Below are 13,137 nucleotides of genomic sequence, written 5' to 3' on the forward strand. Positions count from 1 at the left end.
TTCTTTGTTTTGCAAATTCCCTTTTGAAACAGTTTGTGTGAACTTTAGAGGTGCCAAACTGAGACTAAAGACCACTAAAATCTGGCAGAGCTATACATGTGAAGTATTCAGCAGCTCAAATATGTTTACAGAGTCCATGTTCAAAATAAGCGATTGCTTTTTTACAATTTCTTGTCAACTCCAAATTGAATTGTATTTCTTCTTGTATCTATAAAGGAAATAGGAAGCTTGATAATAATCACTTTTTAAATTTTATAAGTACCGTTGTGTTAATGTGAAGTTATTCTTTTCTCGTTTATCTTCCTGTTAAAAGATGGCCTTAACAGAAACATAATTCAGGTCATTATTACCATGATGTATTAGAGTGAGAAGAAAATTGATGATTTTTTTTTCCTTAGACATGGAGGTCTCACTCTGTTGCCCAGGCTGGAGTGCAGTGGCACGAACATGGCTCACTGTAACCTCGACCTCCTGGGCTCCAGCAATTCTCCTGCCTCAGCCTCTCAAGTAGCTGGGACTGCAGGCACGCACCACCACACCTCGCTAATTTTTGTATTTGTTGTAGAGATGGGGTTTTGCCCTATTTCCCAAGCTGGTCTTGAACTCCTGAGCTCAAGTGACCTGCTCACCTTGGACTCTCAGTGTTCTGGGATTACAGGTGTGAGCCACCATGCCCAGCCTTGGTGATCTTTTAAACCCAGAAATCAAGATCTTAAAACAAATATTCTAGCAGATGACCAGTGAAATTGAGGGTACCATTCTGTGATTTTTTTTCTTTCCTTTTCTTTGGCAGATCTTCTTTGTTATGGTTCTGTACTTTAGCCCAGATTCTCTTGGTATACTTGAAGTTTTCTCATCACTCATCCTTCATTGATTTAACTCTTAGCCTGACCAATGTATTAATGTTAAAATCTGATGGGAATTTTTACAATCTTCGCCACATTTCCTTGCTCCTAATCAAAATGTGTGTTGTTTCTTAAAGAGTCATTTGTTAATGGCTAACAATCTTTATTTATCTTATTTTATTCTATTATTTTTAATTATACTTTAAGTTCTGAGATACATATGCAGAATGTGCAGGTTTGTTACATAGATATACATGTGCCATGGTGGTTTGCTGCACCCATCAACCCATCATCTACATTAGGTATTTATCCTAATGCTATTCCTCCAATAACCCCCCACCCCTCAACAGGCCCCAGTGTGTGATGTTCCCCTCACTGTGTGCATGTGTTCTCATTGTTCAACTCCCACTTATGAGTGAGAACATGCAGTGTTTAGTTTTCTGTTCCTGTGTTAGTTTGCTGAGAACGATGGTTTCCAGCTTCATCCATATCCCTTCAAAGGACATGAACTCATCCTTTTTTGTGGCTACACAGTATTCCATGGTGTATATATGCCACATTTTCTTTATCCAGTCTATCATTGATGGGCATTTGGGTTGGTTCGAAGTCTTTGCTATTGTGAACAGTGCTGCAATAAACATACGTGTGGATGTATCTTTATAGTAGAATGATTTATAATCCTTTGGGTATATACCCAGTTATGGGATTGCTGGGTCAAATGGTATTTCTGGTTCAAGATCCTTGAGGAATCGCCACACTGTCTTCCACAATGGTTGAACTAGTTTACAGTCTCACCAACAGTGTAAAAGCGTTCCTATTTCTCCACATCCTCTCCAGCATCTGTTGTTTCCTGACTTTTTAATGATCACCAATACTTAAAAATGGATTTTGTGCTGGAAATATTTTCAAATTCAGCTTTGGTTATACTGAAGCAGGCATACTTTTCTATATTATATGCAAGTGATAATTACTTGCATATAATACTATATATTATAATTAACTCTGAGAAGTTCTTTGTAAGATACAAATGGCATTAATATTAGTATTAGTATTGCTTTCCAATGAATGACTACTGCTCCAGTTTATTTGTGTATTCATATATAGCTCTCAAACTACAGAAAGAAGAATTCAGTGACAGAACAAATCTTTGTAAAGAGAATCTAAATTTGGGGACAAAAACAATGTTTATCTACATGGAAAATTTCTGAAATGTATATTATTATAAAAGTTAATTTCCCTCCTGAATAAATGATATGTGATTTTCATATTATCATACTAGTTTGAACAGCTGCAAAGAAGTGCTTAGATAAAAATTTAAAAAAAGTTTCAGATCCAAATTTTGCTTTCAAATTAACAGGCGCAAAATATTCCAGGATATGAACTTCTGTTTGAAGAAAGAATTTAGCTTGGGATACATAGACTGGCTATGATTGAAATGCATATATTGATAGTAAAATATTTTACAAACAAGGTTTTTACATATATTAGAAAGAGTGAAAAACTTAGCCCTCTTTACTGAGCAATATTAGTAATTGCAAGGAGCAAGTCACTGGACAAACAACCCTACCACGCAGATGGTTTAGGTGCTGTCAAAGCAGAATCACCCATTTCTATGTCTTTGAGTGTGTTTTAGAGAAGTGCTGATTGTCAAGGAGAATAAAACTTTAGTGAATGTTGTTTGTCTTTCCTGTGAGGAGACAGGAAACACAACCATTTGTGGTACATGAAACATTCGGAGTATAAAGATACAAATTCCATGTTGAATTCGGCTATTGATTATTGGCTTGTGTAAAATGGTAAAAGTACTGTATTTGTAATTTGTTACTAAGAATCATCGTTTAGACCATATAATAACACAATATAACAGTATAATAATAGTATTTCTATTATATACTACAATGAAATGTATTTAAAATACAATTTGAATTAGATTGCTTTCAAATATTTAAATGTTTGATCCTACGCTCATCTATAAATGCTTACATTTTATAATTTAAGGTCTGTTTAAAAGTTTATAAATAATACAAAACTTTGATTTCATTTGGCTGTCTTTTTGTGCTTTGCTTCTTGAAACTTAGCAAAAGATGATCAAGAGGAGCATGAAAAAATCCCCTGAATCCATTGGCTTTCTTCCCTATACTGACAACAGTTTACTTGTGTAAGGTAATTCTCTTTTGCCTGTGTTGCCTCATTTTGCTTCTCCTTGCTTGGCACCATTCTTAAGCAATTTATTTATTCATTCATTTTCTCATTCACATATTCATTGTTTCAACAAATGTTTATTGATGCTGCTATGTGTCAGCTCCTGTGCTCGACTTTAGGGATACAGAGATGAGCAAGGCAGGTATGAAACCAGGCTCTCATGGACTTTCTGGTTTTTGGAGAAGAGAGACAACTAAATAATTAAGTTTCACTGTATGTGAGAGATGCAGTGAAAGAGGATTATGCTATGCTGTGAAAGCAGCTAATCAAGTTTGGAGGTTTTGGGAAAAGCTTTAGTTTCTGTTCACCTACTCAAATTATAAATTGTTTAATCTTCAGTTGCTATTTGGTTAGAACATTTCTGACTTTATTGGCTTCCCATTGTAGCTGTAACAAATTACCACAGATTTAGTCAACTTGAAACAGAAATGTATTCTTTTATAGATTTGGAGGCCTGAATCTCAAAGTGGGTTTCTTTGGGACAAAACGAAGGTATCGCCAAAGCCATATTCCTTAGGGAGGTTCTCTGGGAAAATGTGATCCCTTATCTTTTTCATTTCTAGAGATGCATGCCTCGACTCCGGACCCCTTCTTTCATCTGCAAAATCAGCAGCACCCTCACATCATCTCCTGTAACAAACTCTCTCTGTCTCCTCCATATAAGGTCACTGATGGTTACATTTAGGGTCCATGATATAAGGTAAGATAATTGCCCCTCCTCAAGATCCTTAATTAAATCACATCTGCAACATTCCTTTAGCCATGTAAGAAAACATCCAAACATTCCAGAGATTAGGATATAAATATTTTGAGGGGCTATTGTGTAGCTGACCGTACTGGTCCATCGAAAATTAGTGTCTATAAATAGTTACCTGAATGTGTAACCTAAGAGAGTTTTTGTAAATGATATGAACAAATATTTTATACTCATTTTTGGGAAAGAAGTTCAAAATTTCTTTATAAGGTACTAAACCTTTATGGTTTAGTAAAGGTATAAAATCATATTTTATAATATTGTGAACTTTTGTATGTAACTCAAGAAAGCTAGGCTACATTCACGTAACTATTAGAAGGGCAGTGATAGCATGTGGACAGGATCAAAACTTTGAGATTTCTACCTGTCTCATACAGCAGTTGCAGCCCCCCTTGACCATCTCAACTTGAGTCCCATGTGCACAGATATCATTTCACAAAAAGAAAAAGAATAATTACTGATTTGGCTCTGAAATGCTTATGTATCCAGCCCTCCAGAGAACAAACCGGTACTTCATATGTATCATGAGGACTACCTTGCCCTAAATAATGTATGGGCCTCACTATCCTGTCTCTTAGTTCCTTTTTCCTGAACTCTTCCTCCAGAGTTGTGGGTGTTTCTCTTCCAATAAGAAAAGAAACCTATCAGCCACATGGAATTCTAAGGGGGAGAGTATTTAATGAGAGACAGGAGTGTGTTTGCATGGGTCTAGCTGCCATTATGATTCCTTTATTCTTCCCAACAGAAATTCCACCTTCTGGTACAATAGCCTATTCTTATTAATTCCATTTGTCTATTGTTCTGTTCTTCCCCCAGCCCTAGAGGAAGAATGGAGTGAGGTTGTGGGGAGAGAAGGTCTTGAGGTATTTCGAAAGATATATTATATGGTCAAACTGATGAGCACCTTGAGATAAAAGTAGAATATACGAGACTGAAGGCAAAATCGCATGAAGCAACTGAAGTTTTTGAACAGTAGCTAATAGCATAAAAATTAGGGTGAAGATAATATCTGAAGAAAAGGAGATGAGTGAACAAATAATTATTGAATGCCTATTATGTTTCAAAATATTTGCTGGGTACATGACCTTTGATGCCTCTGTTTGTTTAGTGAATTCTCTTTCTGTAGGAAGAACTAAGGCTGAGAAAAGTTAACTGATTTTCCAAGGTAACTCATGTAGTGAATGGCTATGCTTGTACTTAAAGTCTGGTTTGTCTGAATCCACAATCTATTGGTTTTTTGATATTCCAGGCCCTCTCCAGGGTGCCTGAGTTTGTTGTTTCATCACAGAATTACACGGAAGAGACTGGAAAGATAACTCTTCAAATGTCAAATCATTCCCCTATAAAAAATTTTGCCACAGCTGTTGAAATATGGCCTTAGGGTTTATGACAGAATTTGAACCAGCCCCATGGAAAATGCATCTTGACTCTGCTTTTATTCCTTTCCCTGCTGAGCTCCTAATAGAAGATGGATGTCTATTGCTTTTCTCTTGATATTCATGGCACTGCTCCTCTCCATCCATAGGATTATCTTATGTAAGTAATAGTTCTTTCAAATTTTGGGTGGATTTTAAAATGACTTGCTCCAACAGGGTTCACTCTTCTAACTAACACAACCTCTGAGTAGGTTTAAATTCAATTAGTTTGGCTAGTGCCAAAATGTGATCAGCTATTAATGAGTGGTCTGAAGATTTTTTTTTTTTAAACTGAAAGGGTGATTCTGTCATTCACTTCCTGAAAATTAGAAAAGCTCTTCTGATTTCATTTGCATGTTGAGATTTTCTATTATGACTTGTATTCAATTTAGCACACTCAAATATGAAGCAAATCTATTCATTTAATCTGCTGCCTGAGCCAATATCTCTGCAGCAAGAGATATCCTACCTTCGTGTGTGCATGTGCTTGAGAGCAGTTGTTTGGCAATAGCTCTTATTAATATAAATCAACATCTACAAAGAAAGCCTCCTCTATTCCTGAAATTCATATTTATATAAATAGAAAAGTAATGGATTTCAAAATGGGTCCAATAGGTTTGAGCTTCTAGAATTATCCCAAGAGTATAGACAGGACTGAAATATTTCAAGGTGTTTTGGAGAGGGGTGTTGATAAAGTATTTTCATGTTTGCTGCGTGCCTCTGAGCTGGCAGATTCATACTAATAATGGCAGAAGCCAGGAATAGTTATAATACGCTTAATTAACTCTAAGCTTATTTAATGCCATGGTCCAGATGAACTCTAGATAGGGAGACATAATACATATAGCTCATTAAAAAATAATTTGGACTTTTCTAATCTATATTTGCATAAAGTTCAGGTCCTTGTCCTGAGGTATTAATTATTTTTCTAATATTATTGTTGAAAAATGGATGCCCATGAAAAAATGGTAATTAGAGAAATGCTGGCTAACATAATTCAATTTCACATAACATGCTCATGCCAATTATGCCAGGAAGTTTCTTTGTCTTGAGGAAATACCCTTTTAAAAGAGAGTTATAGTAAAAAAAAAAATGTGTAAATGAGATCCTGCTGAGAGCTGTTAAAAATAAAACAATAAACAAAATTAACCTATTTGTCTCTGTTTATATGAGTTAGAAAGGTACTTGCTAGAGACTTTATGCTTCCATCAGAAACAGGTTATTTTTGCTTTGATCATATTTTAGAACTCATTTTCTTAAGGATACTACGTGTTATTTTGAGAAAATGTATGCAGAGAATTAAAAGAATCTGATTAATTGTTGTATTTGATGAGATCTTATATGACACACTTCTTGAATTTTATGGTGAGTTGCTAGCAGCGAACAATTCTAGAAATCAACATTCTAGCAAAGAAGCTATAATAGCATCCTAAATAAGAACAGCAACTTTAACTGAATGTACTACTGAAATGTTTTCTTCTAATTTTACGCATGGTGTTTGTTTTTATGCATTCTCTTTTTTATATGCATATAATGGATCTATTTTGTGCAGAGGCATAGGTCAGTGGCTCCATCATCCAATATCCTTCATGTGTATAAACAAAATAAGGAAAGATGAAAAGGTAGGCAAGGAAGAGATTGCAAAGTTATAGGGTTAGAGAAGCCAATGTTTAACATTCATCGCCATGTTCTGCTGGGGCTTTTCTCAATTCTACATCTTAAATCATATCTTGTTTTTTAAAAAATATTTATATGAAGAAACCAATATGGACTAAGCTTAAAAATGACAAACAATAGTTTTCCGTATCTTCCTTAATTTCTACTGTGGAAACTGTAGCCCATCTCAAAGTTCCACCAATTATTTTGGGACCTCTGTGTAACTTTTAAAATTTTCATTTTTGCCCTCATTGTTGGTCCATACTTCTAAGGCATTGTATGCTGCTAAAATAATCAAAGTCCACACAATCCTTCAAAGGAACTCTAAGGCTGCTGATATTGTCATAGTCTCTGGATAAAAATCACTGGAACTGAGCAATGTCAATATTCTATTGAACTGAAGCTGCTTTGCTGCGCCAAAACTGAAGTTATTGTTGAAGCTGAGGAATCACCATGTGGCCATTCTGTTCTATGCTTAGGGGAAGAGAAGCCCTTTCTCCCACCTTTGTGGTATGCTTGGATACATATGTCCCAGATATAAGCAACCAGAGTAGCCACTTCATGTTGGACTTCATGGTCCCAATATCTCATGGAGATTTTGGTGAAAACAGCTTTTATTTTCTCTGGAAGTCAATTTTCCTAGAATACAAATGTGAGGCCATGAAACTCACATAAAGCACCTATTGATAACTGCCTCCTCTTTCTAAATTGATGTCGTTCTCAAATTGAGCTTGCATGCCTCATTCTTTGGATAAACTGCTTTCGAGGTGGACATGTCAATGAAATAAATTCCTAGCGGGCTCCACCCATCGGCTCTCTAGGGAGTTACTGCAGCATCTGAATCTTTGAGCACAGTTTACAGCTAAGCTGGGAACAAGCTTCTCCTTTCCCTCCTAATATCTACTTTGTGTGTCATACCACTGATTTACTGGACTAGATCTAATAGTTTTGTGCCAGTTTCACTTAACTATGTTATTGTTATCAAGAAATGGAGTTAGGTCATGTCGAAAATGGGATATTTGTGTGCATCTTTTTAAAATTTATTGTGTGCGTGTTATTTAGAAGCCCCACGTGTTGGCTCGGACATTTCTACCATCTGTAGTTTAGGCAGAGTAGCCATACCCAAACGACTTCTGGAAAGTGCCGGATATGGAATGCATGGAGCAGAGTGTGGTTGTCTGAGAGTTAACACTGTAACAAGGTTCAAGAAAATGTCTGGATTTGAGTGCTAAGACAGAGGTACAAAGAAAATATCTAAGGTCAAAGCTGTGTGTACCTAAAGTCAGGAAGATAGGGAGTAAAGAGTTAGGGGTACCATTCTGACTAATATGAGGCTTCTGAGACAAGCAGAGAGGTTGTTGTCTGTAAACCTCAGATAAGCACCTAATCAATATGGCAAAGGGTAGCTTATTAATAGTAACAGATAGGATTTTTACTGGACAGTGACACATATGAGACTGTCAAGAGTGATGAATATGAGCCAATGCATGTCAAGCACAGAGGGAGGCTTCAGATGAGGTCTCCTTGGTAACAATCGAAAGGAGGTTCTTCATCTGGAATACTGAAGGCTGTTTTTGTTTGTTTTTTGCTTTTTTCCTTTAATACTACTTGTCTGATGAAAGTTTATAGGAACCTTTAGAAACTAATTTTTATGCATCCTTAGAGGAGAGAAAAATCAACCTCAGGTTAAGAACATGCATGGTCCACACCCAGAGATCAAATCTAGTTATGTAATCGTGGAAATAGTATTCACCACTTGAGGCTTTTAGAAGGTGAAGTTTTCAGAATGGAAGTCTTCCTGGCCACTTTCATCAAGGAAAACATAAGGCAAACAATAACCTTACTGCAGTTGGAAATTTAAACCACATTTTATAGATAACATCCTCTTGTCTATATCTAACCCCACCCCCAAAAAATAGCACCTCTACTTTTTGTACACTGTGTGGCCATACTAGAAATATTTCAAAGCTTGCTTGAAAAATAAAACTTGTTGCAAAAATATTTGTTGCATGCCAAGTATTGTGAAAATACTATAAAAATACAAAAAAATGCAGAAGATATTTTGTAAAATATATCTGTGCTCACATTTTAACTTTGGAGGCTGACAGATTGTATTATCCAAAGATGACCAGAGACCTCCCATCCTGTGTGCTCTTCTGCAATGTGATGTTCCACTCTCTCACCAAGACGTAGAGTTTATTTCTCTATTCCTTGACTCTGAGCAGGCTTTGTGACTACTTGACCAACCATATATGGCAGAAGTGGTTCTGAACATAGCTAGTGGTCAAGGGATATCTTTTCAACCCTGTGTAAGAGTTAATCTAGGAGAAGTGAAATAAGAATTTCTTAAAACCGTTTGGCTTCCATCATGGGTGTTTTTATGGCAGACGATATTAATCAGTTGAAGTCTTGAGAGTTATAGATCAAATACTGGTTGGGAAAAGTATGTTAGAGAATTATCTTATTTCATTTGTGTTTTGGTTTGAACTTTTTTATGACTAGTAGCTTAATGTACTTACTTTGATTTACATTAATGAACTAAGAGGGCACTTCAGCGTACCTGAGAGAGATGATATTATCTTATTAAGTGACATTTTTCTCTTAAGCTAAGTACTGTTTTAAAATATTGACTCATGATGGGGGAAAAGTTATACTTAACAGTGTATTAACAGTAAGATGAAAGACTTGGAACAGATTAATATGGTTCTGAAGGTTAAAAGTTCTGAGTTCTTATCCTGGTTAAATTCTAAAGAAAAATTGACTTGTAAATGCTGCCCAGCACAAACACATGCATTTTCTTTACACTTTCCCATTGCATTATTATGTTACTTCCAAGTGATAAGAAATAAACATGCTTAGATTTCCCGTTATGATGGGAGTTCATTGTAGGTTTACAGGAGAAGAGGGAAAGTACAAGAAGCTGCTTCAGTAATCAAATCCCAAGCCCTCAAGGAGTTCTTCGTGTCTCCGTAGATTTTTAGTTGTCCCATTGTAGGCAAATGCCCATTGCTCCCTTTACTAATCACTCTATTGTTCCACTTGTTTCTCTGCTTTTACTTGTGGCTACTTTTTGCTTTTCTATTTTTACCTCCTGGCTTCTTCTTATTCATGATATGCACTTTCTCATGGCTCTTATTTATTTATTTCTGCAAATCTTTTAAATCCTTCCACTATCTAATCCTTCTCTAATTGGTTTGGATAGTCACTATCAATTTAAACATGACCTTTTAAGTTCAGAATACACAAGTGAAGACACCATTTACTCTGCTGGCCAGCTGGCAACTTCATAGAATTACTTTTTGGAAACTGGAGCACATACATTATATCCATAGTTAGATATATCTCCAGGTTAAACTAAATTGTGGATATAGGAATGGTGAGAATTTTACGACAGATAAAAAAGAAGCCAATGGGATGGCTAGTGAAAAGTGGGGAATATTGTGCTAGAATATATGTTGGTAAGTCCTTTTTTTTTTCCAGATTCACCATGTATTATTTTATTTTTTCACCCGATTGAGTATTAGGCAACAGTCTTTCTAGGGACAAAACTGTATATTTTTATATATTTTTTTTCTTGAAGAAACATATAAACACATTAAAAACAAATAAGTCAAGGTAATCTCTCATACATCCAGGCCTATGTTGATGAATATAGTCCCACATCTTGATTCTCATTTTGCTGTGTCCTCTTTTAAAAAAAGTCAAAACGGGCGAAGCAAAGGCTAAATGTCTTTCCATTGCTGTTTTTACAGTCTCCTTTCTCTTTTATTATTCTCCCTCTTCTCATTCCCCAACTTCCCTTTCCCCGGAATCAAAGTATAAAAAGCATAGGATACTAACGTATCACCACTTAAATGTCCCAATGCCCTTGAAGACCTGACTGGGAAGCTTATCAAGTACTTTTACAGTTTTATCTCACTTCACCTTTCCTCCTCTCTGAACTTGTAGGTTTTTCAATCATTCATCCTTAATTCTGCAGTATATTCAGACACGCAATCCTTAATTCAGCTTCTGTCCTTTCACCTTACTCATATGAATCCTCACGGTGAAAGTACAGTAATGAGAAAATGGTGGTCTGGAAGTGAGAAGATATGGCTCCTAGAGGGCACTTCTAATGTCGTGGATAAGGCCTTTAAATAAACCCATCTAATTATTATGCTGTCTATTTCTCTCTCTGATTATAAGAATAATAACAACTACCATTCATATGATGCTTAAAGGATGTTTAAAGTGTTTAGCCAGTATTTCATTTGATTCTTTAGGACACTGAAATAGGCAGGATGGATATCATGCTCCCCTATCCACCCTATTCCTTTGATATGAATGAGGAAAGTAAGGCTTAAACAGTTTAAATAATGTGTAAAAAGTCTCAGGACTAACAACTAAAAAAGTAGGGACCAGAATTCTGATATTATTTCTGGTCCAGTCCTCTTTCTATTATACCTTGATGACTGTTGAGATTAAATCTGAGAATTTGCAAAATATTACAGGAACTCTTCTTCTTTCTCTTCAGAACCTAGGTTGTATTATCAAGTGCTATGACTAGGATCTGTGTCCGCACCCAAATTTCATGGTGAAAGGTAATCCCCAATGTTGGAGTTGGGAGCCTGGTGAGAGGCAATTGGATCATGAGGGTGGATTTCTCATGAATGGTTTAGTACCATCCCCTTGGTGCTGTCCTGGAAATAGTGAGTGAGGAGGGATCTTGTCCTTTAAAAGTGTGTGGTGCCTCTCCCATCTCTCTCTCTTTTGCTTCTGCTTTTGCCATGTGATGTGCCTGCTCCCTCTTTGCATTCCGCCATGATTGTAAGCTTCCAGAGGCCTCTCCAGAAGCAGATGCCAGTGTTATGCTTTCTGTACAGCTTATAGAACCATGAACCAATTAAATCTCTTTTCTTATAAATTACCCAGTCTCAGAGAACAGACTAATACATCAAAGATAGATAAAACAGAACTTGAGATCTTTCAGCTTCTCTTCACTGGTCAAAAGGGAAAGAGGTTGGATAAGCAAGTATGGGGAGGGGGTGGTATCTATTGAGGATGGGAGACCAGGTCTTCCAAACCTCAAATACTTGCTATTTGTGTGGGTTTATATGCATGTTGTGGGAGAAGGGGCCATAATGATAGATGATCACATCATACAAACAAGGATAATTTTGATTGTCAGAGGGGATGCTAACCAGTCATAAGACTGAGAAACAACAGATATAACTTGGGATAGTCCTTGGCAAATTGGAACATATGGTCATTCTAGGGAGTAGAAAGTAGGGTCCAGCAAGAAAGCCCTGTTGGTTTGTAAGGGTTGGTAAGCCTTAGGCTAGTAATTAGCATTTGACTTTGCCTTTCCTCCCAAGCTCCCACATCTATCTTCTGGAAGTGAGATTTCATATGTAGCCATATATAGCAATTGATTATTGCTCAGTTCATACCTTCCCCTTCTCTTCTCTCAAATAGGTTGTGAAACAACTTTTTGTTCCAGCAGAGTGATGCTTTATTTTGATAGTATAATACGATGACATTAATTTGTTGCTTTTGCAGTTGATACAAGGCCTACTTTTATTGATTACACAATTTTCTTGTACTGTTTGCAAATTTATTATAGTTTCTGAATATCTAAAGACCTCAATGTCTCTTCCTAATATATTTCCAAAGAAATAAAACCTCAGTTTTTTCAAAATTCCATTTTTAACATTGTGGGTTTCTGCGGCCTTGAAGTTGAGAAACTAGTTGTTATGGGCTGAAATGTGTCTCCCCAGTTTATACGTTGAAATTCTAACTCCTAGTATCTCAGGATGTGATTGTATTGGAGATAAGGTTTTTAGAGATGTGATTGCATTAAAATGAGATCTTTAGGGGGGACCTAATCCAATCTGACTGTTGTCTTCACAAAAAGAAGAAAATTAGACACTCAGGGAAACACCAAAACCCTGTGCAGGAACAGAGGAAAGAATGTGTGAGGACACAGGGAGAGAGTGTCCATCTGGAAGCCAAGGAGAGGGGCATCAGAATAATACCTTGATCTTACACTTCTCCAGAACTGTAACCAAATAAATTTCTGTTCCTTAAGCCACCCATCTGTGGTAATTTTTGTGACAGCTCTAGCAAAACGAATACATTAATTTTCACATATTACTTTGTTACCAATTTGTGAACTTTTTCTTCCTTTTTGTAAATCCACGAAGTCCTCCCTAGCCTAGTTGTTACTGGAGCAATACTTGCTATTCCCTCAATGTTTATCCTCATGATACTATTAAAGTGTACTCAG

At 36.3% G+C, this 13,137-nt stretch overlaps 2 long non-coding RNA genes across 2 annotated transcripts in view; one reads left to right on the forward strand and one right to left on the reverse strand.

Annotated features, from left to right (window-relative positions):
• Positions 1 to 13,137, forward strand: part of NOVA1-DT (NOVA1 divergent transcript) — a 207,821-nt gene that overhangs the window by 178,225 nt on the left and 16,459 nt on the right. Inside the window, exons 4-6 of the long non-coding RNA NR_147061.1 lie at positions 2,924 to 3,008; positions 3,611 to 3,747; positions 5,267 to 5,337. This is a non-coding gene — a long non-coding RNA (NOVA1 divergent transcript). The remainder of the gene's footprint in view (positions 1 to 2,923; positions 3,009 to 3,610; positions 3,748 to 5,266; positions 5,338 to 13,137) is intronic.
• The window catches only part of LINC02294 (long intergenic non-protein coding RNA 2294), a 46,626-nt gene that overhangs the window by 1,377 nt on the left and 32,112 nt on the right, over positions 1 to 13,137 (reverse strand). The window lies entirely within an intron of this gene.

The sequence above is a fragment of the Homo sapiens genome, chromosome 14, assembly GCF_000001405.40.
Source record: "Homo sapiens chromosome 14, GRCh38.p14 Primary Assembly".
NCBI classification, from domain to species: Eukaryota; Metazoa; Chordata; class Mammalia; order Primates; family Hominidae; genus Homo; species Homo sapiens.